General features: G+C 53.1%; 1 protein-coding gene and 1 non-coding gene across 4 annotated transcripts, besides 3 other annotated features; both read left to right on the top strand.

Annotated features, from left to right (window-relative positions):
* Positions 1,332 to 21,110, top strand: PTPRN (protein tyrosine phosphatase receptor type N). Of its 3 annotated transcripts, none has more exons than NM_002846.4 (23): positions 1,332 to 1,515; positions 2,891 to 2,941; positions 3,176 to 3,289; positions 6,902 to 6,998; positions 7,896 to 8,157; positions 8,242 to 8,596; positions 9,014 to 9,145; positions 9,756 to 9,790; positions 10,474 to 10,748; positions 10,947 to 11,033; positions 11,349 to 11,428; positions 11,622 to 11,686; positions 12,630 to 12,848; positions 13,300 to 13,500; positions 13,601 to 13,748; positions 13,911 to 13,984; positions 14,217 to 14,294; positions 14,388 to 14,507; positions 15,592 to 15,758; positions 19,210 to 19,263; positions 19,843 to 19,907; positions 20,122 to 20,195; positions 20,436 to 21,110. In NM_002846.4, exons 1-23 carry the CDS (start codon positions 1,401 to 1,403, stop codon positions 20,505 to 20,507), a joined length of 2,940 nt encoding a protein of 979 aa, NP_002837.1. In that variant the 5' UTR covers positions 1,332 to 1,400; the 3' UTR covers positions 20,508 to 21,110. The 3 variants fall into 3 exon arrangements, with proteins under 3 accessions (NP_002837.1, NP_001186692.1, NP_001186693.1); NM_001199764.2 differs by lacking the exon at positions 1,332 to 1,515 and adding an exon at positions 1,763 to 1,851; NM_001199763.2 differs by lacking the exon at positions 10,947 to 11,033.
* Positions 11,688 to 11,737: an enhancer, noted in NCBI's record as "active region_17149". NCBI's record gives its function as "activates an Ori minimal core promoter by ATAC-STARR-seq in GM12878 lymphoblastoid cells {active_cell/tissue: GM12878}" and the evidence as "EXISTENCE:reporter gene assay evidence [ECO:0000049][PMID:35858748]".
* Positions 15,577 to 16,076: a silencer, noted in NCBI's record as "silent region_12353". NCBI's record gives its function as "represses an Ori minimal core promoter by ATAC-STARR-seq in GM12878 lymphoblastoid cells {active_cell/tissue: GM12878}" and the evidence as "EXISTENCE:reporter gene assay evidence [ECO:0000049][PMID:35858748]".
* Positions 15,592 to 15,886: an enhancer, noted in NCBI's record as "tiled region #13803; K562 Activating DNase unmatched - State 1:Tss". NCBI's record gives its function as "activates a minimal TATA promoter and a strong SV40 promoter by Sharpr-MPRA in K562 cells {active_cell/tissue: K562}" and the evidence as "EXISTENCE:reporter gene assay evidence [ECO:0000049][PMID:27701403]".
* Positions 16,533 to 16,622, top strand: MIR153-1 (microRNA 153-1). The gene has a single exon (NR_029688.1). It is a non-coding gene; the product is annotated as a microRNA 153-1 (primary transcript).

The following is a 21,610-nucleotide window of genomic DNA, read 5'->3' as shown; positions in this document are numbered from 1 at the left end:
AGCAAATATTGTAAAACATCAATAACCATTAAGTATGGATGATGAGTATGTAAGTATTCATTATGCATTTCTGTCCTTTTTAAATTTTATTTTATTTTACTGGAAAGCAAGAGAGGAAGGAGATCAAATCTGAACTTAAGAAGCTCACTCCCCTACTTATTGGATGACTAGAGTGGAAGCAAAAGAGCAGTTACTAGCTGATTGCTGCAGTGGTCGTGGTGAAAGAGCACAGTGTTTCAGTTCAGGTAGTGAGGATGGACAGAAGTGGACTGATGGGAGATGTATTTTGCAGGGAGAAACCATAAAATGATTGATAGCCTCGAGGTGGCACAGACGGAGAGAAAGGAGAGTCAAAGCTAATGATGAGGCCAGGCCCGGTAGCTCACACCTGTAATCCCAGCATTTTGGGAGGCGAAGGCCGTTGGATCACCTGAGGTCAAGAGTTCAAGACCATCCTGGCCAACAAGGTGAAATCCCATCTCCAATAAAAATGCAAAAATTAGCCGGGCAAGGTGCTGTGCGCCTGTAATTCCAGCTACTAGGGAGGCTGAGGCAGGAGAATGGCTTGAACCCAGAAGGTGGACATTGCAGTGAGCCAAGATCACGCCAGTATCCAGCCTGGCCAACAGAGCAAGACTCCATCTCAATAAAAAATAAATAAAAGCTAATGATGACAGCTAATATGTATGGAGCATGTAGTATGCACCAGTCCAGTCATCCTTCTAAGTGATCCATATTAGTGTAACGAACAAAATCTTCACAATCACTGTGTGAGGCGGGTAGTAACTATTAACACCTCCACTTTGCAGATCAGGAAACTTGGACGCAGACAAGTTAAACAAGGTGCCCAAGGTCATACCCTTAGTAGATGCCCTGCTAGAACTGGAATCTAGGCATGCCTAACCATTTTTTCTTAAGGAAGAGAACAGTATCTTCAATGACAATGAGTAAGAGTACTTATTCTACCCACTTTTCTGCTTCTTGTCTTCGGGTTTATCGTTCTGGACCCACCTATCTTTCCTGGCCCCCCACTTAACTTAACCCTTTTCACCCACCCTGGGGCGGGGAGACAGAGGTGATCCTAGAAGAGGGCTACAGGGATGGGGCCAAGTGGGAATTCTAGCGAGGCGCCTACTATTTGATGGAGGAGGGATGGGCTAGGTAGGTCCCCCGCTCCGACAGGGCTCTTACGCCATATGTGACGCAAATTAGCTTACGAGCCGGGGGTGGAGGTGTCGTCAGCACCCGCCTGCGGTTGGCCGCGTTGCAGCGAGAGGGGCATGTAGACCCCGCCTCGTAGGGAGGTGGGGAGCGGCAAGCCCCGCCTCAGCCCCTCTGGCAGGCTCCCGCCAGCGTCGCTGCGGCTCCGGCCCGGGAGCGAGCGCCCGGAGCTCGGAAAGATGCGGCGCCCGCGGCGGCCTGGGGGTCTCGGGGGATCCGGGGGTCTCCGGCTGCTCCTCTGCCTCCTGCTGCTGAGCAGCCGCCCGGGGGGCTGCAGCGCCGTTAGTGCCCACGGTCAGGAGGAAACTTGGGCTGGCGGGTGGTGGGGGGCGGGGAGCAGCTTGGGGCCTGGAGCGAAACTCGGTGGGGGTGAGGGTGAAATGTCATGAAGCTCGGGGAGAATATGGGTTGGGGGAGGCATGCGAGATGAGGAAGGTGAGAGGGCGTCTCGGAGGAAAGGGGCGTAGGCCTGGAGGTGGGGCTGGGAATACGGGGGCGGGACCTAAGAGAATTGGGCTCTGGGGAAAATTGCAGGTTCGGGAGAAGGACACGGGGTGCATGTGGGCAGAGGGACTTAGAGACCGGCTGCGAGACCACAGGAGAAGCCACTTGCTCCGAGGCGCCTGGGAGGTGGTGACAGGCGCTGAGGAATGGGAAGGGGAGGTGGCGGGGAGAATGAGGGAACGGTGATCTCTGGGCAGTGGAAGCCTGGGCCGCAGACATAGAGTCCCAGCTGGGCAGAGAGAGAGGCCAGGGTTTCTCCGTAAGCCTAGAGAAGCTGATTGCAGCGATCTGATCTCCTGTAACGGGGGACAGCACGGGGAGGGGGCAGAAGAGGATGAAGAGGGGAGGGTCCTCTCTTGTCCCCCTCCCCACAGCCAGGCCTGGTGCTGACTCACATCTGTGCGGACAGAGACAGTCAGCGCTGACTCACGGACAGGGGGTGGGGGATGGGAGGGTGGCGCGTGGGGGAAGGGGCGCAGCCTCGCCGCCTGGCGCCCTCTTTCCCCACCCGGGCTTGGAGGCCCGAGAGGCAGAGTACTTCCTGTGACGCTGTGGGTTGGCAGAATACAACAGAGGGCTCAGGTCTAGTGGAGAGTCCTCGCTCTGTGACCCCTTCCTCTCTGGTAACCGCCTCCAAGGCCAGCCCTTGGCGGCGCCAGACTCAGAGCTTCAGCACCGCGGACAGCGCCAGCGGCTCGGGACAGCGCGAGGAGAGATGCCTAAGAGACACCCTCCCCAGCCCCACCCATGCCCTCTTTCCCCCGACCGGGGGAAGTGTGCTAGAACCTCTTCTGAGTTCCAGGCCATTATAGGATGCTTTTCCATATTTGGGAAGGAAATTCCTCTTTCAGAATTTGGCCAAAACCTCTCCTGCAGTAATTCTATGAATCTCTCTCCCTGCACCTGGAAGGTTTCTTCCCTATCACTCAGTTAAGCAAACAGAGGCTTTTAAGGATACAGACTCACAAATTCTTAAAATCCAAAACAAGATCCCATGCTTCCTTTTAAGAAATTCAGGCCTGATTCCTACTCTCCTCCCAGCTTAAGGCCTTCTTTAGAATGAAAGAATAAATTGCATCTGCTTCTCCCGTTCCCAGCCTGTCCACCCATCTGCCCATTCTCTGTGAGTGGGTGTCTGAGCCTCTGCTCACCTTTTCCTCTACAGGCTGTCTATTTGACCGCAGGCTCTGCTCTCACCTGGAAGTCTGTATTCAGGGTGAGTGAGGCCCAAGCATAGAACTCACAAGATCGGGGGGAGAGGGGCAATAAAAAACAAGAAGGGGAGAGAAGGCCCAGAAAGGAAGAGGGCTACTGGGCTTGAGAAGAAGGAAGACTTGCCTGGAGGAGGAGAGGTAGGGGAGAAAGTGAAGAGAGTACAGTCCATTTGCAACCTGGACTTTGGAAGGCCTCTTATTCAAGCCCCCTGCTGACACCACTTTTGTGCCCTTAGATGGCTTGTTTGGGCAGTGCCAGGTGGGAGTGGGGCAGGCCCGGCCCCTTTTGCAAGTCACCTCCCCAGTTCTCCAACGCTTACAAGGTGTGCTCCGACAACTCATGTCCCAAGGTAAGGTCTGGGTGCACTGGAGGAGAGAGATTGGAACTTGGTTAGTTATGGGTGGGGAAGAAGATTTCTCTTCAAGGAATATTCCTATCACCCCCACTGCTGGAGCCTCACCTTCCCATATCTTGCTAGAGTAAGAGGTGGAACCCTAGAGATGGGCTATTCACATTTGGACTCTCTGGAGAAGCCCAGAGGAGCCTTCTAAGAAGAAGTCACTGGAAAAGGCCAGCTTCCATCTTCTTAGGACCAGTTCCTCTCACTGGCATTGTCTGAGTGCTACAGAGCCAAGAACTCTGGAATCCTCAGCCAGGATAATATTCCACTCACCCAATTCCTCATTCAACAAGTATTTATTGAGTACTTACTATGTAGCAGGCATAGTTTTAGGTATTTGGAATGTATCGGGAATAAAACAAAGATCTCTGCTTACTGGAGTTTCTGTTTGGGGGATAAGGGGAGGAAACACGCTATAAAAGTTAGAAAATACATAGTGTCTTAGAAGATGATAAATAGCATATAATATTATAGCAGGATAAAGTGATCAAAATGGTGAGGTAGAAAGCTACAGTATTAAATGAGGAAATCAGGTGGTTAAGGTGGACATTATTGAGACTATGAAATCTGAACAGACTTTTTAAGGAGGTGGGGGAGTTTGTCAGAAGATTATCTAGGGGAAGAGTATTTCAGGCAGACCAAACAGTTAGGACAAAAGCACAATTCTGAAGAGCACCATGGAGGCCAGGGGACTGTAGAAGACTGATGGAGAGGAAGAGTAGAAGGTGAGGTCAGGTAGGTAATGGGGGAAGGGATGTGGATCACTTTAGGGCCTCATAGGGGAATGTATGGACATTAGCTTTACTCTGAGTAAAGAAGGAAACTATTACAAGATTTGGAGCTTGGGGGCACATGATCTGACTTACACTTGACAAGCATCACTTTTGCTGCTGTAGTGAGACTAGAATAGATGGAGTCAAGAGTTGGTGAGGGGGACCACTAAAAACCACCACAATAGGTTGCTCTGTCTATGGAGTGCCATTCTTTTGTTTCTTCACTTCTCTAATAAACTGCTTTCACTTTACTAAAACAAACAAACAAAAACTACCACAATAACTCAGATAAGAGATGAATGTGGATGGGGCCAAGGTGATTGCAGGGAAGGAATGAAGGATGAGAGAATTCTGCATTTATTTTTAAGGTAGTCAGCATTATTTCGTGAAATATTGGATATGGTTATAAAGAGAGGAGTCAAAGTTTTTTTGGGTTTATTTTGTTTGTTGATTGTTGTTGTTGTTGTTTGAGACAGAGTCTTGCTGTGTCACCCAGGCTGGAGTGCAGTGATGCAATCTCTTGCTCACTGGAACCTCCACCTCCCAGGTTCAAGTGATTCTCCTGCCTCAGCCTCCCGAGTAGCTGACATTACATGTGCGCGCCACCATGCCTGGCTAATTTTTGTATTTTTAATAGAGACAGGGTTTCACCATGTTGTCCAGGCTGGTCTTGAGCTCCTAACCTCAAGTGATCCATCTGCCTGGGCCTCCCAAAGTACTGGGATTACAGGTGTGAGCAACCGCGCTCAGCCAGGAGTCAAAGGTTTTATTTACTGAATAACTGAATCAGTGGAGATGTCACTAATTATAATGTGGAAACTTGCAAATGGTTCAACTTGGTGGGGGTGTTCAGCTTTGAATATGTTGAGTTTAAGATGTCTACTCAAGTGAAGCAGGAAGTTGAGTACATGAGACTGGATTCTGAGAGACAGAGTTCTCACCTGGAGATATAAATTTGGAATTCTTTGGCATATAGATGGTAATTACACCCATGAGGTGGATGAGATAACCAAAAGATTGAGTGTCTATTAAGAAGACCAAGGATCAAGTCCTAGATAATTCTTCTATTAAAAGGACCAGGCCAGGTATAGTGGCTCACACCTATAATCCCAATACTTTAGGAGGCTGGGGCAGGCAGGTCACGAGCTCAGGAGTTCGAGACCAGCCTGACCAACATGGTGAAACCTTGTCTCTACAAAAAATACAAAAATTAGCCAGGCATGGTGGCGAGCACCTGTAATCCCAGCTACTCAGGAGGCTGAGGCAGGAGAATCACTTGAACCTGAGAGGCAGAGGTTGTGGTGAGCCGAGATCGCACCACTGCACTCCAGCCTGGGTGATAGAGCGAGACTCCATCTCAAAAAAAAAAAAAAATGAGGACCAGGATAAAGAGAGGAACCATCAACTTCCTCTCAGGGAGACTGAGAAGGGGAAGCCAGTGGAGTAGGATTAAAAACAACAGTGTTCAGTGTCCCAGAAGCCAGGAGAAAGTGTATCAAGGAGGAGGAGTGACCAACAGTGTCAAATGATGATTACGGGATAAGTAAAATAAGATATGAAAATTGACCACTAGATTTGGACATGCAGACAAAGCTGCTCTTGATGAGAGCAGCTTTGGTAGAATAGTTGGGAATAAAATCCTGAATAAAGTGGATTAAGAGGGAATAGAAAGAAAGGAATTGGATACAGTCAGTATAGACAACTTTTTCTAGAAGTCTTGCTGCAAAGATATGGAGTGATCCCTAGAGAAGAAAGTGGGATCAAGCAGTATTTTTCTTAAGATGGAAGAAATTGCATATTGTTTGCATGGGAATAATGTGAATAATTCAGTAGAGAACAAAGGAAATTATGTAGGAAAGAAGAGAGAATTGCAAGGAGAATGTTCCTGAATAGGTGAGAGGGGATGAAATCTAGTGCTCAGAGGAACTGGCTTTAAATAGGAACACAGACAGCTCATCTAATGTGAATAAGCAAGGAGGCAGGTGTGGATGTTGGTAGATACCAGAATACAAGTTAAGAGCAGCACAGATTTTAAATCCAGAACTAGAGAAGAAAAAATGAGGGTGAAAAGTGGGAAATTATTCCTTTAGAATAAGTGACTGAACTTTCCTGAGAGCAGAGTTTTTTTGGGGGAAAGAGTCAAACAGGAGAGCTGTCTATGAATAAGATGATGATGATAATGGTGATGATGATGATGATGACGACAATGAAGATGATGATACATGTTTAAAACATGTGGATTATGCTTTAGAGTTTTCTAAGCACTTTGATTTCCCTGATCACACTTGATCTTCACAACAGCCCCCTGAAATATGTATCGTTTCCACTTTACAAACAGAGAAAGTTGAGGTTCAGGGTCAACACAAAGAATAATAACAATAGTAATAATAATTATGGTAATAGCATTTGTTAAAAGTTCACTACATGACAGGCACTATTCTAACCGTTTGATATGTATATGTGTTATTTTAATGATAATAACAATCCTAGGAGGTATAAATCCCCATTTTATTGATGAGGGAATTGAGGCTTGGAGAGGTTCAGCAACTTGCCCAAGGTTACATAATTCATCAGTAGCAAAGGCAGGATTCAAACCCAGGTGGTCTGGCTCCAATAGCTGTACCTGAGGGTGGGAAGAAGACAGCTCAGATCACCCACTGAGTTTGTCCCTCTACTCTGACAAACCCCATGAGCTGCAGGGCAGAGGGTACAGTTCTGATCCCCAGTGGTCCCCGTTACTGGATCCCCAGACTCCTGAACCAACTTACGCTGTCCTCTTTCCTGACAGGATTGTCCTGGCACGATGACCTCACCCAGTATGTGATCTCTCAGGAGATGGAGCGCATCCCCAGGCTTCGCCCCCCAGAGCCCCGTCCAAGGGACAGGTAGGCAGCCTTTCTCTACAACTCTAGCAATGGTGAGGCTGATGAATCTGTGGTTGTCCTAATTGATGGAGAGAAGGGGAAGGAAGTGGGCACCAAGGCCAGCATGCTGGGGCACAGGTAAAGAGGTGCAGGAATGGTCACTCTCTGACATGCTCACATGACCAAGAGGAGCTGAGCTCATCTCTAGGGATCCAGAAAAACGGGCATTTTTTGAATGTTTTGAAAAACATTGACATTGGCTACTTTAAAAGAAGCATCAATGTAGTCATCATGGGAGAAATTAGAATGCTGTTGGACTGAAGTTGTTCAATATTCCATTTCATTACTATGTGAATTTCTATATGACAGGAGCCACCATCATCTTTTTGTGGTTAGGGCCTCTAAAGGCATCATTCAGACTGCAAAGCAGAGGAAAGTAAATGAGGTTTAGGGAGCTCAGATGATGATACCAGGATGAAGATGGCATAGTGGTGGGGGGTGGAGGAGCAGTCCTGAATATTTGGACATATACTTGGAGAGCCAGGTGTGGGGACATGGCACACAGGGGCAACGGGGACAGCTGCAGCCACAGTTCATCTAGAGAAATTCCTGGTTGCCTTCCCCTGCTCCTGTTTGCCCCTTCTCCATCCCCAGCCTCATGATTACCCAGCCTTTGCAGTTGTTTCAGAGACTCAGCCATGCTCACCAGGGAGGCAGATACCTCTGCCCTCAGCTTGGCCCTCTGGTCCCTCCCCATTCCCACCCAGCCCATCTCTCTTCCCCTGAGGTCACTCAGTTTCTAAAGAGGTCAGGCCTGCTCTTAACCGCTGAGCCTGCCTGGCCCCGAATAGTTCTGCCTTGCAGGCTCTCTATGCCCTTTCCCCCGCTCCAACACACACACTTTGCTTTCCTCTACAGGTCTGGCTTGGCACCCAAGAGACCTGGTCCTGCTGGAGAGCTGCTTTTACAGGACATCCCCACTGGCTCCGCCCCTGCTGCCCAGCATCGGCTTCCACAACCACCAGTGGGCAAAGGTGGAGCTGGGGCCAGCTCCTCTCTGTCCCCTCTGCAGGCTGAGCTGCTCCCGCCTCTCTTGGAGCACCTGCTGCTGCCCCCACAGCCTCCCCACCCTTCACTGAGTTACGAACCTGCCTTGCTGCAGCCCTACCTGTTCCACCAGGTAAGTCCTTGACTCTGGTCCCACCCCAACCGCAGTCCCTCAGCCCGGACTTCTGCTCTTACCCAGATCTCTGGTTTTCCACAGTTTGGCTCCCGTGATGGCTCCAGGGTCTCAGAGGGCTCCCCAGGGATGGTCAGTGTCGGCCCCCTGCCCAAGGCTGAAGCCCCTGCCCTCTTCAGCAGAACTGCCTCCAAGGGCATATTTGGGGACCACCCTGGCCACTCCTACGGGGACCTTCCAGGGCCTTCACCTGCCCAGCTTTTTCAAGACTCTGGGCTGCTCTATCTGGCCCAGGAGTTGCCAGCACCCAGCAGGGCCAGGGTGCCAAGGCTGCCAGAGCAAGGGAGCAGCAGCCGGGCAGAGGACTCCCCAGAGGGCTATGAGAAGGAAGGACTAGGGGATCGTGGAGAGAAGCCTGCTTCCCCAGCTGTGCAGCCAGGTAACAAGGTCCTCAGCATCCACCTCCCTGTGAGGGCTGCTTTGGGGGAACCATGGTGGGGCCCTTCCCTGACAATCTATGCGTTTGTTAACTTGTCCTTAAAGTCATTCATACATTTAAGGAATGTCTACTGACAAGCTGTTCTATGCCAGGCACTAGGGAAGTGGTGGGGAGTGGAGTTGACGTGACTCTCCTTCCAGTGGAGAGTCAAGATGTCCTGAAGTTTGATCTGGGTCCCAGGAAGAACTTTCCCCCAAAGTGTGGACAAGGGCTGGGAAAGGGAGGGCATCTCTTGGTGTCCTGGTGTCTGGGAAGACTCTCTTAACATGCTAGTCCCTTCCCACCCTCACTCACTCATCTGCATCCCTCAAGTTCACTGCGCAATCAGCCCTAAGCTCTGTGTCTGGCTCCCAGCAGATGCGGCTCTGCAGAGGCTGGCCGCTGTGCTGGCGGGCTATGGGGTAGAGCTGCGTCAGCTGACCCCTGAGCAGCTCTCCACACTCCTGACCCTGCTGCAGCTACTGCCCAAGGGTGCAGGAAGAAATCCGGGTAAGTGTCCAGGCAGAGGGAGGGACCAATATCTCCCGGCTCCATGGAGGCCTCTTGCCCTGCCTCGAGACCACTTGGAGTAGCCTGGAGAGGAAGAGTCAGGCTTCAGGGGAAAGAGTTCCTTTGAGACATAGGGTCATTGCCAGCAAGGCAGGGAGCAAGGGGGTAGGGTGGCAAGCTTAGGAGTTAGATCAGGAAAAGACTAGATGGTGGAAGTAATGGAAAAAGCAGCCAACAGAGGGTGTGAGCAGGGAAAAGGAGGCATCGGGAAGGATGGGTTGGTGACAATGAGGGCCTAAAAACGGGCATAGCCAGTACTAAGAAGAAGCCAGTAATTGATGGGTAGAGAAATAACTGAACAAAGAATAGCTTTGAGAGAGATGGCCAATGGTAGAGGGAGGAGTTAATAAAACAGTAAATTGGGAGGAGGAAGCAAAAAGGAATGAGGCCAGGCTTAGGATGAGACCAGTAACAGGGTCTTGGTCACTGACTGAGATGAAGACCACAGCAAATGTTCCAGGCTCAGGGTCTCTGGCCCTTTCTCCCACTTGTGTTGTGTAGACCTTGGCCATGGCCATTTTTCCAGACTCTTGTTTTTCCTGTCTCGCAGGAGGGGTTGTAAATGTTGGAGCTGATATCAAGAAAGTGAGTCCCCAGCACCTCCTTGACTCATAATCACCCCATGGCAGCACGCCCCCTTGCCAAACCTAAATTTCAAATTCAGGACCTAGAATCTGTATCCTCCCACCCCTCATTTTGGGGGAAACCAAGGCCCAGAGACCGCAAGTTATTGCCTAAGGTCTCCCATCAAGTTGATGGCAGAACTGGAGCCAGAAAACTGAATTCTTAATTCATTCCTCTTTTCACTACAATCATTTCAGACCATGCTCTGAGGATTCCTAGGGGAGGAGGGAAGTTTCGAGCAGAGAGCCCTTCCTGAGCTTCTGTAGCAGGAGGAGCTCTGCTTCTTTCTGTTTCATGTGTTGGATTTCTAAGACTTTGTGGCTAAACAAAAGTCTAGAAACCATCGCCTGCCTGTTTGTCTTTTACCCTCACCCCAGCTTCTCTTGCTGCAGGGGTTTTCTGTCTCCAGCCCCATTCTGTGGATTAGTACAGACCATTTTCAATCATTCAATCCTTTATTCATTCATGCATCCACTTACTTGTCTCAGATGCTCTGGTGTCCTCTCTGTACCCAGCACTGCAGTGGTCCCTGGGGGTAGAAAGTGAAAAGCAGGTCCTGAGCTCCACTGTGGAGAGCTCCGAGTCCAGGGTACCCCTTCCCCCAGCACTGTCCAGAGGCCACACCTCCACCCTCTTCTGAACAGACAATGGAGGGGCCGGTGGAGGGCAGAGACACAGCAGAGCTTCCAGCCCGCACATCCCCCATGCCTGGACACCCCACTGCCAGCCCTACCTCCAGTGAAGTCCAGCAGGTGCCAAGCCCTGTCTCCTCTGAGCCTCCCAAAGCTGCCAGACCCCCTGTGACACCTGTCCTGCTAGAGAAGAAAAGCCCACTGGGCCAGAGCCAGCCCACGGTGGCAGGACAGCCCTCAGCCCGCCCAGCAGCAGAGGAATATGGCTACATCGTCACTGATCAGAAGTAAGGGCTGCATCCTGGGAAGCTTTCTGGTCTGCTAGGATTTGGGCTGGCCTGCCTGGCCAGAAGCAGAGGGCAGAAATCCAGACGTGCAGGGACAGGGAATTGGCAGGCTGCTCTGTACCCCTGGAGTGGCCTGTTTTAAGAAAGTGACTGAGAGGGTTGCCCCACTTTCCTTCCTCTGCCTTCTCCCATCTCCAGGCCCCTGAGCCTGGCTGCAGGAGTGAAGCTGCTGGAGATCCTGGCTGAGCATGTGCACATGTCCTCAGGCAGCTTCATCAACATCAGGTGGGGCTGGCATCTTGCTAGGGCAGTGGCCGAGATCTAGAAAGCAGCTTGAGCAAGGAGGTGGCTGGAGGGGCCTGCGGGAGGAAGAGCAGACAAGCTCTGAGCTCAGGGATGCTCCCAGCTGTACTGAAGGTACAGCCACACCCAGCCCGTTGCTGGCCCCACCCAGCATCTTCCTTGCCTAAGATGCCCCTGTAGGGCATCCCCGATCTGCTCCAGCCCCATCCTCTAACGGGGAGAGGGCCAGAGCTGGCCTCTTTTTTGAAGTCTGCGGTCTGGGGTGGAGAAGGCAGTAACATAGCTCCTATCTGGCAGTGTGGTGGGACCAGCCCTCACCTTCCGCATCCGGCACAATGAGCAGAACCTGTCTTTGGCTGATGTGACCCAACAAGCAGGTAAATATCTCTGCGACCTCAATCCCAGGCTTGGCCCCAGCCCCACTCCTAAGAGGATATATCCAGGCCTGTTGCTGATGCCCCCTTGAAATGTTCCCAGCCCACATGGGCCCTGCCTGCTGCTTGGCAGAGCAAGACAGAGGATGGAGACCACATGGGGCTGGAGCAAGCCTGACCTTTGTCCTCCCTGCAGGGCTGGTGAAGTCTGAACTGGAAGCACAGACAGGGCTCCAAATCTTGCAGACAGGAGTGGGACAGGTATGCGCTAACTGGAGAATCAGTCCAAGTCCCCAGAGGGCTGATGTTGTCCGCAAGAGCTGGAGGCAAACCAGAGGGGAGAACTGGAGCCGAAACGTGTCCGTAGGCACGGCTGGCTGGAGGCGGCCTTCGCCCAAGCAGCCCCTCCCCGCAGTTCTCTTTCTCACCAGCAGATGGCGTAGGTGTCCCCTCCCTGCAGGACCAGCCCTCTGTAGTAAAAAGGCCTGAGAACTAGTTGAGCCGCCCTTAGTCTGCTGGAGCGCAGTCTCCAAATTCCAAGGGAACACCTTGCACAGAAAGGACATTATACTCAAAATATGTTTTGTTTGTTTGTCTGAGACAGAGTTTCACTCTTGCTGTCCAGGCTGGAGTGCAGTGGCTCGATCTCGGCTCACTGCAACCTCCACCTGCCAGGTTCAAGCGATTCTCCTGCCTCAGCCTCCCAAGTAGCTGGGATTACAGGTGCCTGCCACCACACCCGGCTAAATTTTTTTTTGTATTTTTAGTAGAGATGGGGTTTCACCATGTTGGCCAGGCTGGTCTCGAACTCCCGATCTCAGGTGATCCGCCAACCTTTGGCCCCCCAAAGTGCTGAGATTACAGGTGTGAGCCACCACGCCCGGCCTATACTCAAAATACCTTTGTCTTCTGCATCCAACACTGATGCCTCACGTTCTACAATTCAATTCCTAGGGTTCTCTGTCCGTTTTTAAATGCAAACACTCCTGGTGGGGGCCTCTGGCACTGCACTGTGGTTGAGTTGATCCGATGGGGATTGAGAAGGAGAATCTGAGCCCATCTGGCTGTACCACCATACCCCTAATCTCCCAGCTTTGCCCCAGGAGATGTCCTAACAGGGGGTGTGGCATGGGACCGGGGTGAGGAGCAGCTCTGAAACCTCCCTATGCCACTGCCTCCCTTGATTCTAGCCTTGTTCCCACAGAGGGAGGAGGCAGCTGCAGTCCTTCCCCAAACTGCGCACAGCACCTCACCCATGCGCTCAGTGCTGCTCACTCTGGTGGCCCTGGCAGGTGTGGCTGGGCTGCTGGTGGCTCTGGCTGTGGCTCTGTGTGTGCGGCAGCATGCGCGGCAGCAAGACAAGGAGCGCCTGGCAGCCCTGGGGCCTGAGGGGGCCCATGGTGACACTACCTTTGAGTACCAGGTGTGCAGCCCCAGAAGCTGATTGAGCAAAGGAAATGCAAGGGGCCTGGGAGTCTGGGTCTTGCGTGGACTAAGGGTCGGAACTGAATGGGGAGTGAGCCCTCATCCCTGGGAAGGTCCAGTGGAGGCTGGAGAAGCCCCAGTGGGAGGGAGTATGGTAGGGGCCTTTATGAACGCATGGGAATTGGGAGCATACAGTGCCTAAGGTTCTTCTTGGTGCTGTGCTTCTGGGGCTCTGGGATTCCACTCTGTCATGTCTGAGGTTGACATAAGCACCACCCAAGCAAAACAGCCCTGGAAAGGATCAGGGCCAGGCAGAAGACCATACCCCAGAGGAGCTGAGTTCCACTGAAAATCAGTCAAGGGCAAGCCTAGGAGCCCAGAGTTGAACCCAGGGCCCTGTTGAAAAGTTTCAGGGGACTCTTGGACCTCACCTGATTCTTCCTCCACAGGACCTGTGCCGCCAGCACATGGCCACGAAGTCCTTGTTCAACCGGGCAGAGGGTCCACCGGAGCCTTCACGGGTGAGCAGTGTGTCCTCCCAGTTCAGCGACGCAGCCCAGGCCAGCCCCAGCTCCCACAGCAGCACCCCGTCCTGGTGCGAGGAGCCGGCCCAAGCCAACATGGACATCTCCACGGGACACATGATTCTGGTCAGGACAGGGCCTGGGCCCAGAGTGGGTGAAGGAATGGGATGGTGAGAGAGGCCAGGCTGGCTGTGTGGGCCAGAGCCAGACCGTGGTGCCCCCACAGGCATACATGGAGGATCACCTGCGGAACCGGGACCGCCTTGCCAAGGAGTGGCAGGCCCTCTGTGCCTACCAAGCAGAGCCAAACACCTGTGCCACCGCGCAGGGGGAGGGCAACATCAAAAAGAACCGGCATCCTGACTTCCTGCCCTGTGAGTGAACCCTGCTGGCCCACCTGGCCCAGCCCTCTCTCTGCTGCGAGGTCTGGAGGGCTTGGGGTAAGGGGTTGGGCTTCTGGCTCAGGCTGAGTGGCAGAGGTCCCGCGATGCCAATGACCAGAGGGCCATCTGGGGTGGGGTGTCGGGTCTGTGCAGATGACCATGCCCGCATAAAACTGAAGGTGGAGAGCAGCCCTTCTCGGAGCGATTACATCAACGCCAGCCCCATTGTGAGTGGCCCTGACTCCAGCCCCCACCTCTGCCCCATCATTATCCTGGCCCTATGCACTCCATTTCCCCGTGGTCACCTGCCACCCCACCAACCCCCTGGAGTGGTGGGGCCTGATATCCTAGCAAGGGGGAACTGCCAGCCTTCTCAGACCCTGACCCACTTGCTCTGACCACGCCTGTCCATAGTGGCATTTCCCACACTGGCTCATGGTGTATCTTCCCTGCCTCCAGATTGAGCATGACCCTCGGATGCCAGCCTACATAGCCACGCAGGGCCCGCTGTCCCATACCATCGCAGACTTCTGGCAGGTGGGCTCTTAAAGGGAGGGCTTCGCTGGGGTCCTTGTGGCCACGAGGTCCCAGGGAGGTTAGAGTGGAGCTCAACTGGGTCTCTGTCCCTAGATGGTGTGGGAGAGCGGCTGCACCGTCATCGTCATGCTGACCCCGCTGGTGGAGGATGGTGTCAAGCAGTGTGACCGCTACTGGCCAGATGAGGGTGCCTCCCTCTACCACGTATATGAGGTCAGCAGGGCCCCACAGCAAGGGGACAATGGATGTGGGAAGAGTAGATGATGGCCTTTTCGTAACGTTTTCTTCACCAAATGAGCACTCAACAGTCTTTTTAAAAAGGCTTTTATTGGCCCTGCTCATGATTCATACATATATGAATATATATAAACACATATATGCATACCCATATATTCACATATATACATGTGTGTGTCCTGTTTACAGAACATACATGTGTGTGTGTGTGTGTGTGTGTGTGTGTCCTGTCTAGAGTCAAAAAGCGTTCATAGAGACTTATGATAAAGGCACAGAGATCAAACTATAAAACCACCAAAACCGAGGTAAGAAGCTAACAGCTAAGTGTATATTAGACAGGGAAGATAAGGATACCCAAAGACTGAGATTAAGACCTACGTTAATTGAACCTAATTTAGCTCTGAGTTTCCTGGTGGCCAAAGCAAAGAAAGACATACCACCCGTTACATACGTTACTAATGTAAAAGAGAAACAAACTTTTTCATTAGGAGAGAGACTAGGTGGAGGGGTGGAGAAGGAGGGGGAACTGGGCAGAGGCCAAGCAGGGGAAAGAGAAATATTTCAGACAAATGGGAGAACGTGAGTCCCCACTAAGACAAAAAAACCTTAAGAACACAGCAGAAGCTTCTCATCACCAGATGAGCCTGAATAGTAATTTTTTCCCCACCAAATAAGCACATGACGGTTTTTTTAAAAAGCCTTTCATTGGTCCTGCTGGTGGTTAACGAAAAAAATCCAGTAAGAATACTACAGAATTTCATCCAAGTTTATGGCACGTGTAGCACCGATACTCTGGTAGACCCTGCGAGGAAGAGGGAGGAGAAACTCCGACCTCGAGAGGCTCACAATAGCTGTGTCTGGGTGGAAAAGCTACTAGTGGTCCTGAGCAGTAGATAAGTGACAGGCAGCCAGGGTTCCTGGGACCGCTGGAACTTAGAATTTGAACCGGCCTGGGAGGCCGGGCGGTGGTTGGAGAGACCGAGAAGGTCGCGAGGAGAGCGCGCGCAACGCGGGGACTGGGGCAGCCCGCGGCGCTCAGGCCTGGGCCCCTGCCGGGCAGGTGAACCTGGTGTCGGAGCACATCTGGTGCGAGGACTTTCTGGTGCGGAGCTTCTACCTGAAGAACGTGCAGACCCAGGAGACGCGCACGCTCACGCAGTTCCACTTCCTCAGCTGGCCGGCAGAGGGCACACCGGCCTCCACGCGGCCCCTGCTGGACTTCCGCAGGTGAGCGCGGGCGCCCCCGCCTGGAGGGACCGCATGGGCGGGGGCGGAGCCGGGGTCCGCCCGCCGCTCGGCCTGGAGCCCCGGGTCGGGCCTGGAGCCTCGGCCTCTGACTTCTGGCCGCCCGCTCCAGACCCCACGCTCCCACCCCTAAAAGCAGGCCTGAGGCTCCGGCTGTGCCCTTCCCCGAGCCTCCACCACCCGCGTGGGCCAGCTCCGCGCCGGCCGCTGCTGCTCTGCTCCCTCCCTCTCACGCTCCCGGGACTGGCTCCTTCTCCTCCACCTGCTTCCTCCAGAGGGCCCTCTGCTTTCTGTCTCCCCTCCCTCTCCAGGACCCCTGCTTCCTTTCTCCTTCCAGTTCCCTCCTGCCCCGCTGTCTCCAGGCCCTGCACTGCGCTGCCTTGCTGCCCCCTCCGTCTCTCACTCCCGCCTGCCCGTCTCCCCTCCTTCATCCCTCTCCGTCCCTCCTTCATCCCTCTCCGTCTCTTCGCCTCTTTTTTCTGTGTCTTTCATTCTTTTTCCTTTCCTCTTTCTTCCTCTTCTCTCTCCCCATCTCTCTCTCACTCTGTCTCTGCCTCACCCTTTCCCTCTCTCTCCATTTCTCCCTCTCCGCGCTTCTCTTCCTTTCTCTCTGCCCTCTCCCCTGTTTTTCTCCACCTCCTTCCCCTGTCTGCCAGTTTCTCTCTGCTGCTCTGTCCGTCTCTCCCTCTCCCTCCCGCTGCCTGTCTTTCCTCTCTCTGTCCTTCCCTCTCCCTTCTTCCCTCTTTCTCTCTCTCCCTCACAGCTGCCAGTGTCATTTTTGTGATCTGCAGCTAGTATTCTCACTCCAGTTGCATAGTCACAAAAGTGATCATTGGCAGGTGTGGCTGCTGCATGGACAGACAGGACATGTGGCCCGGGGACCACCCCGAGCTGGGAGCAAGGGGTACAGGGAAGAGGCAAAGACTGTCGAAAGGAGTGTGGGAGGATCTCTGGATTCTGGGGGGCTCAGTGGAGCAGGTGGGGACTAGACAGGGGCTACCTGAGGGACTTACCCTTTTCCAACACTGACACCAAGACAGGTCAGCCCTCCAGCGTCCCCTGCTTTTCCTAGCCCCAGACAGGTACTTGGGAAGCCCACTACCAAGGGCAGGGGCCCACCCACACTGCGCCCTTCTCCTGGTTCTCTGTCCCTTGCCAAGCTGGCCTGATGTCTCTAGGTACTGGACAGAGGAGCAGAGCTGGGGGTGGGGACATGGGTATAGTTTCTGAACCTCAGGACAGCAGTTTCTAACTGGGGTCCCTGAGGCCTGAGACACAGGCGTCTTGAAAGCAGTGCCAGGGTATCAGAGCTATTTCCTTTTTTCCATATTTAAAAAATCCTGGTAGAACTAGTGCATGGATCTGTTTTAAAGCTGCACAGATAAGCTAAAAGATTGCTTTAGGCTGGAATTATGTAAACTCAGTTGGCATTAGACATCCAGAACAAATAAACTGTTGCTTAAGAAATGCAGTTCGGGGCCGGGCGCGGTGGTTCACACCTGTAATCCCAGCACTTTGGGAGGCCGAGGTGGGTGGATCACTTGAGATCAGGAGTTCAAGACCAGACTGGCCAACATGGTCAAACCCTGTTCTGCCAAAAATACAAAAATTAGCCAGGCAGGGTGGCGAGCGCCTGTACTCCCAGCTACTCGGGAGGCTGAGGCAGGAGAATCTCTTAAACCTGGGAGGCAGCAGTTGCAGTGAGACGAGACCGTGCCACTGTACTGCCACTTGGGCAACAGAGCCAGACTCCCTCTCAAAATAAATAAATAAATAAATAAATAAATAAATGCAGTTTGGTCAAGCCCCCCTAGAAGGAAAACAAATTAATAAAAGAGACCCTAAGAAAGTGACCCTGAGTAAGTTCCTTGGCTTCCCTCCATTCCGCTACCTGTGAGATGGGGATGATTACACATACTTTAGAGCAGAGGTTCCCAACCTTTTTGGCACAAGGGACCGGTTTTGTGGAAGACAATTTTTCCACGGCTGGGAGAGGGGGTGGTTTGAGGATGAAACTGTTCCCCCTCAGATCATCAGGCATTAGATTCTCATAAGGAGCTCACAACCTAGATCCCTCACATGTGCAGGTCACGATAGGGTTCGCACTTCTGTGAGAATCTATTGCAATGGCTGATCTAACAGGAGGCGGAGCTCAGGTGGTAATGTTCGCTTGCCTCCTGCTATGCGGCTCGGTTCCCAACAGGCCATAGACTGACACTGGTCCATGGCCCAGGGATTGGGGACCCCTGCTTTAGAGGGCTGTTGCAAGATTTGATAAAGTATGTAAAATCTAGTGTAAGTGCCTGATACATAGCAAGGGCTCCGTTAATTCTAGATGCTGCCTATTATCATTATTAAATGAGCAAAAACAACTATTGTGATTACTCTTCTACCCTAGCCCTCTGACGTAACAGCCAATGAGCTAGAAAACCATGTGGACTCCTATGAAGCCATTCTAAGTCACCTGGTCCTATAGCTGAAGGACTGTGAAGTTCCAAACTTCAATCTGACAACCCCTAAGAAGGTCTTCCCTGGTTCTGGCTTGCAGGGATATCAGGAGTATGCAGGTGACTCCCAAAGCAGAAAGGTCATAAAGGACAAGGGCAGGTTAGATGGGTCCATTGAGAGACGGAGAAGCCCCCTGCTCCTCACTGAGTTGTGGTCAGGGGCAGTGGAGAAAGGTCTGAGGTCCAAGGGGACCCCAAGTCTGAATATAACGCAGCCACAGAATGCCTGTGCTGAAGTGAGACTGCTCCAGGGAGACAAGCAGTAGCACAATGTCCCGAGTTGAGGGGTTGGGGTTGTCCTCCCCTGGCCCAGGGAACACTATGCCCAGGGCAGCCTGATGTCACAACTGGTAAGGACCACTGGAGCCTGAGTCGGGAGGAAAACAGCCTGGGTGGTCATAAAGAATGGCAGAGGGCCAGAGCAGGGATGTGGCAAGACTGACACCCTTGAAGTCACCAGAAAGCTATCCCCTTGGACTTGGGCAGAAGTGTCTCTTAATATGATGATGTATTATCATTAATAGTTGCCACCTGCTACCATGTATTGAGCACCTATTGTGTGCCAGACCTAGCACTTAGCTCTTTACATGGGTTATCTCATGTGATCATTGTAAGAACCCTAAGGAGGTTTTTCTTACTATCCTCCATTTTACAGGTAAGAAAACTGAGGCTCAAAGAGGTTAAATCAGTTGTTCCAGGTGCATAGCTTGGGCACCTAGCTTGCAAGTGACAAGGCGAGCCCAATGCCACCCACACCAGCTCTGGTTCTTTGCCTCCAGCCCTGGCTCCTTTCTCCAACCATCTTCCCTCTCTGCCCCGGGCAGGTGGGGAGAAAAGGAAGAAAGAGAGGCCCACGTCATGTGTTTCAGCTTCCCTTTCCCTCTCTGCTGGTGCCCACTGGCCCTCACACCCATTTCTTGTTGCAGGAAGGTGAACAAGTGCTACCGGGGCCGCTCCTGCCCCATCATCGTGCACTGCAGGTGGGTGGAGAGGAGATTCATCTCTCTGGTCCCACTCCCTGTGTGCGTCTCCTGTGCACATTGCCTGCCTGTCCCCTTGGTGCTAGCAAACTGCAGGCATAGTCCAAATCCAGCACACCACCTGTTTTTAATGGCCAAGACCTAAGCGTGGCATTCACAGTTTTAAATGGGTGAAGAAAAAAGAAGAAAAGTATGTGATACAAACTGTATGTGGCCCACAAAGTTGAAAATATTGACCATTGGCCCCCTATACACAAAAAGCTGGCTGAAGGCTAGAGAGGCCCATCCAATTCCCTCCTGCTGCCTCTGCTTCTGGGCTGAGCCATGGCTCTCCTCTTTGGTTGTCCCATTGCCCAAATGACACCCACAGGTCACAGACTCCCCTCTCAAGGCCCAAGTCCCAGCGTGCAGGTGCTATGAGCTTTCCTTCATCCTCGGCTCACTGTCCCTCTCCAAGCCAACCCCAACGGGTCACCCAGTGTCCTCCCCTCCCCCAGGCCTCCAGGCCTCCTCGCCTCCTCCGTCCCTCCCCCTTTCTGCTGCATCTCAAGCTAAACCTGTCACTAACTCCTGTTTCAGTGATGGTGCGGGGAGGACCGGCACCTACATCCTCATCGACATGGTCCTGAACCGCATGGCAAAAGGTAGGGAGCTTCCCCACGGTGCCCGCAGCCCCCAGGCCCTTTTTAGAGGCTCCCCAGCACACAGGGTCCTGGGAGCTCAGAAGGAGCAGGTTGTCAACCTCCAGGCTCTGCCCAGCCCTCCAAGGCTCTTTGCCTCCAGGAGGCCTCAGGTTTTCTGGGTCCTGTCCTCCTCTGGACACCCCCTGAGCAGCCCCATCCCCACCTCCATCTCCAGGAGTGAAGGAGATTGACATCGCTGCCACCCTGGAGCATGTCCGTGACCAGCGGCCTGGCCTTGTCCGCTCTAAGGTGACCATGCCTTCCTGCCCCAACCCCAGCTCCCACCCTTCCCTAGCACCCACTTCTTGGCCACCCCAGGGAAAGCAGCAGCTGCCAACCTTTCCCACCTGCTTCTGCGCCTCCTCCAGGAGGGCTCCCTTCCTCCCAGGGGACCTGCCCAGGGCCCTCCCCCCACCAAAAGCCCCCCATCTTGAGGGCAGAGCACAGGTCAGCCCTCTCCATGACCATCCTACCACTGCCCTTCCTCAGGACCAGTTTGAATTTGCCCTGACAGCCGTGGCGGAGGAAGTGAATGCCATCCTCAAGGCCCTGCCCCAGTGAGACCCTGGGGCCCCTTGGCGGGCAGCCCAGCCTCTGTCCCTCTTTGCCTGTGTGAGCATCTCTGTGTACCCACTCCTCACTGCCCCACCAGCCACCTCTTGGGCATGCTCAGCCCTTCCTAGAAGAGTCAGGAAGGGAAAGCCAGAAGGGGCACGCCTGCCCAGCCTCGCATGCCAGAGCCTGGGGCATCCCAGAGCCCAGGGCATCCCATGGGGGTGCTGCAGCCAGGAGGAGAGGAAAGGACATGGGTAGCAATTCTACCCAGAGCCTTCTCCTGCCTACATTCCCTGGCCTGGCTCTCCTGTAGCTCTCCTGGGGTTCTGGGAGTTCCCTGAACATCTGTGTGTGTCCCCCTATGCTCCAGTATGGAAGAATGGGGTGGAGGGTCGCCACACCCGGCTCCCCCTGCTTCTCAGCCCCGGGCCTGCCTCTGACTCACACTTGGGCGCTCTGCCCTCCCTGGCCTCACGCCCAGCCTCCTCCCACCACCCTCCCACCATGCGCTGCTCAACCTCTCTCCTTCTGGCGCAAGAGAACATTTCTAGAAAAAACTACTTTTGTACCAGTGTGAATAAAGTTAGTGTGTTGTCTGTGCAGCTGCAACCCAGACTCCTACGCATTTCTGTCCGCTGTGCATCTGGACTCCAGCCCCAGCCTCAGCCCGGAGCCGGTCCCTGCTGGTCTCTCAGGAGGTGCAGAGAGCACAGCAGGAGAGCGCCAGCTGCCAGTAAGGCCCTTCTAGGTGGGAACACTACGTTAGAACGAGGCTTCCTATGCAGCCAGCAGTCTCCAAGGTGCTTTACATGATGAGTCCCATTTTACAGATGGAAAGACTGAGGCACAGAACTTGCTTGTGGTAACACGTAACACAACTTGTAAGATTGTAAGGTGCAATGGCTCATGCCTGTAATCCCAGCTCTTTGGGAGGCTGAGGCAGGCAGATCACCTGATGTCAGGAGTTGGAGACCAGCCTGGCCAACATGGAGAAATCCCGTCTTTACTAAAAATACAAAATTAGCCGGCCATGGTGGCTCGCGCCTGTAATCCCAGCACTTTGGGTGGCTGAGGCAGGCATATCACCTGAGGTCAGGAGTTCGAGACCA

Source organism: Homo sapiens, chromosome 2 (genome assembly GCF_000001405.40).
Source record: "Homo sapiens chromosome 2, GRCh38.p14 Primary Assembly".
NCBI lineage: Eukaryota > Metazoa > Chordata > Mammalia > Primates > Hominidae > Homo > Homo sapiens.
Note: the sequence above shows the minus strand (reverse complement) of the source record. Positions and strands in the feature narration are given on the sequence as shown.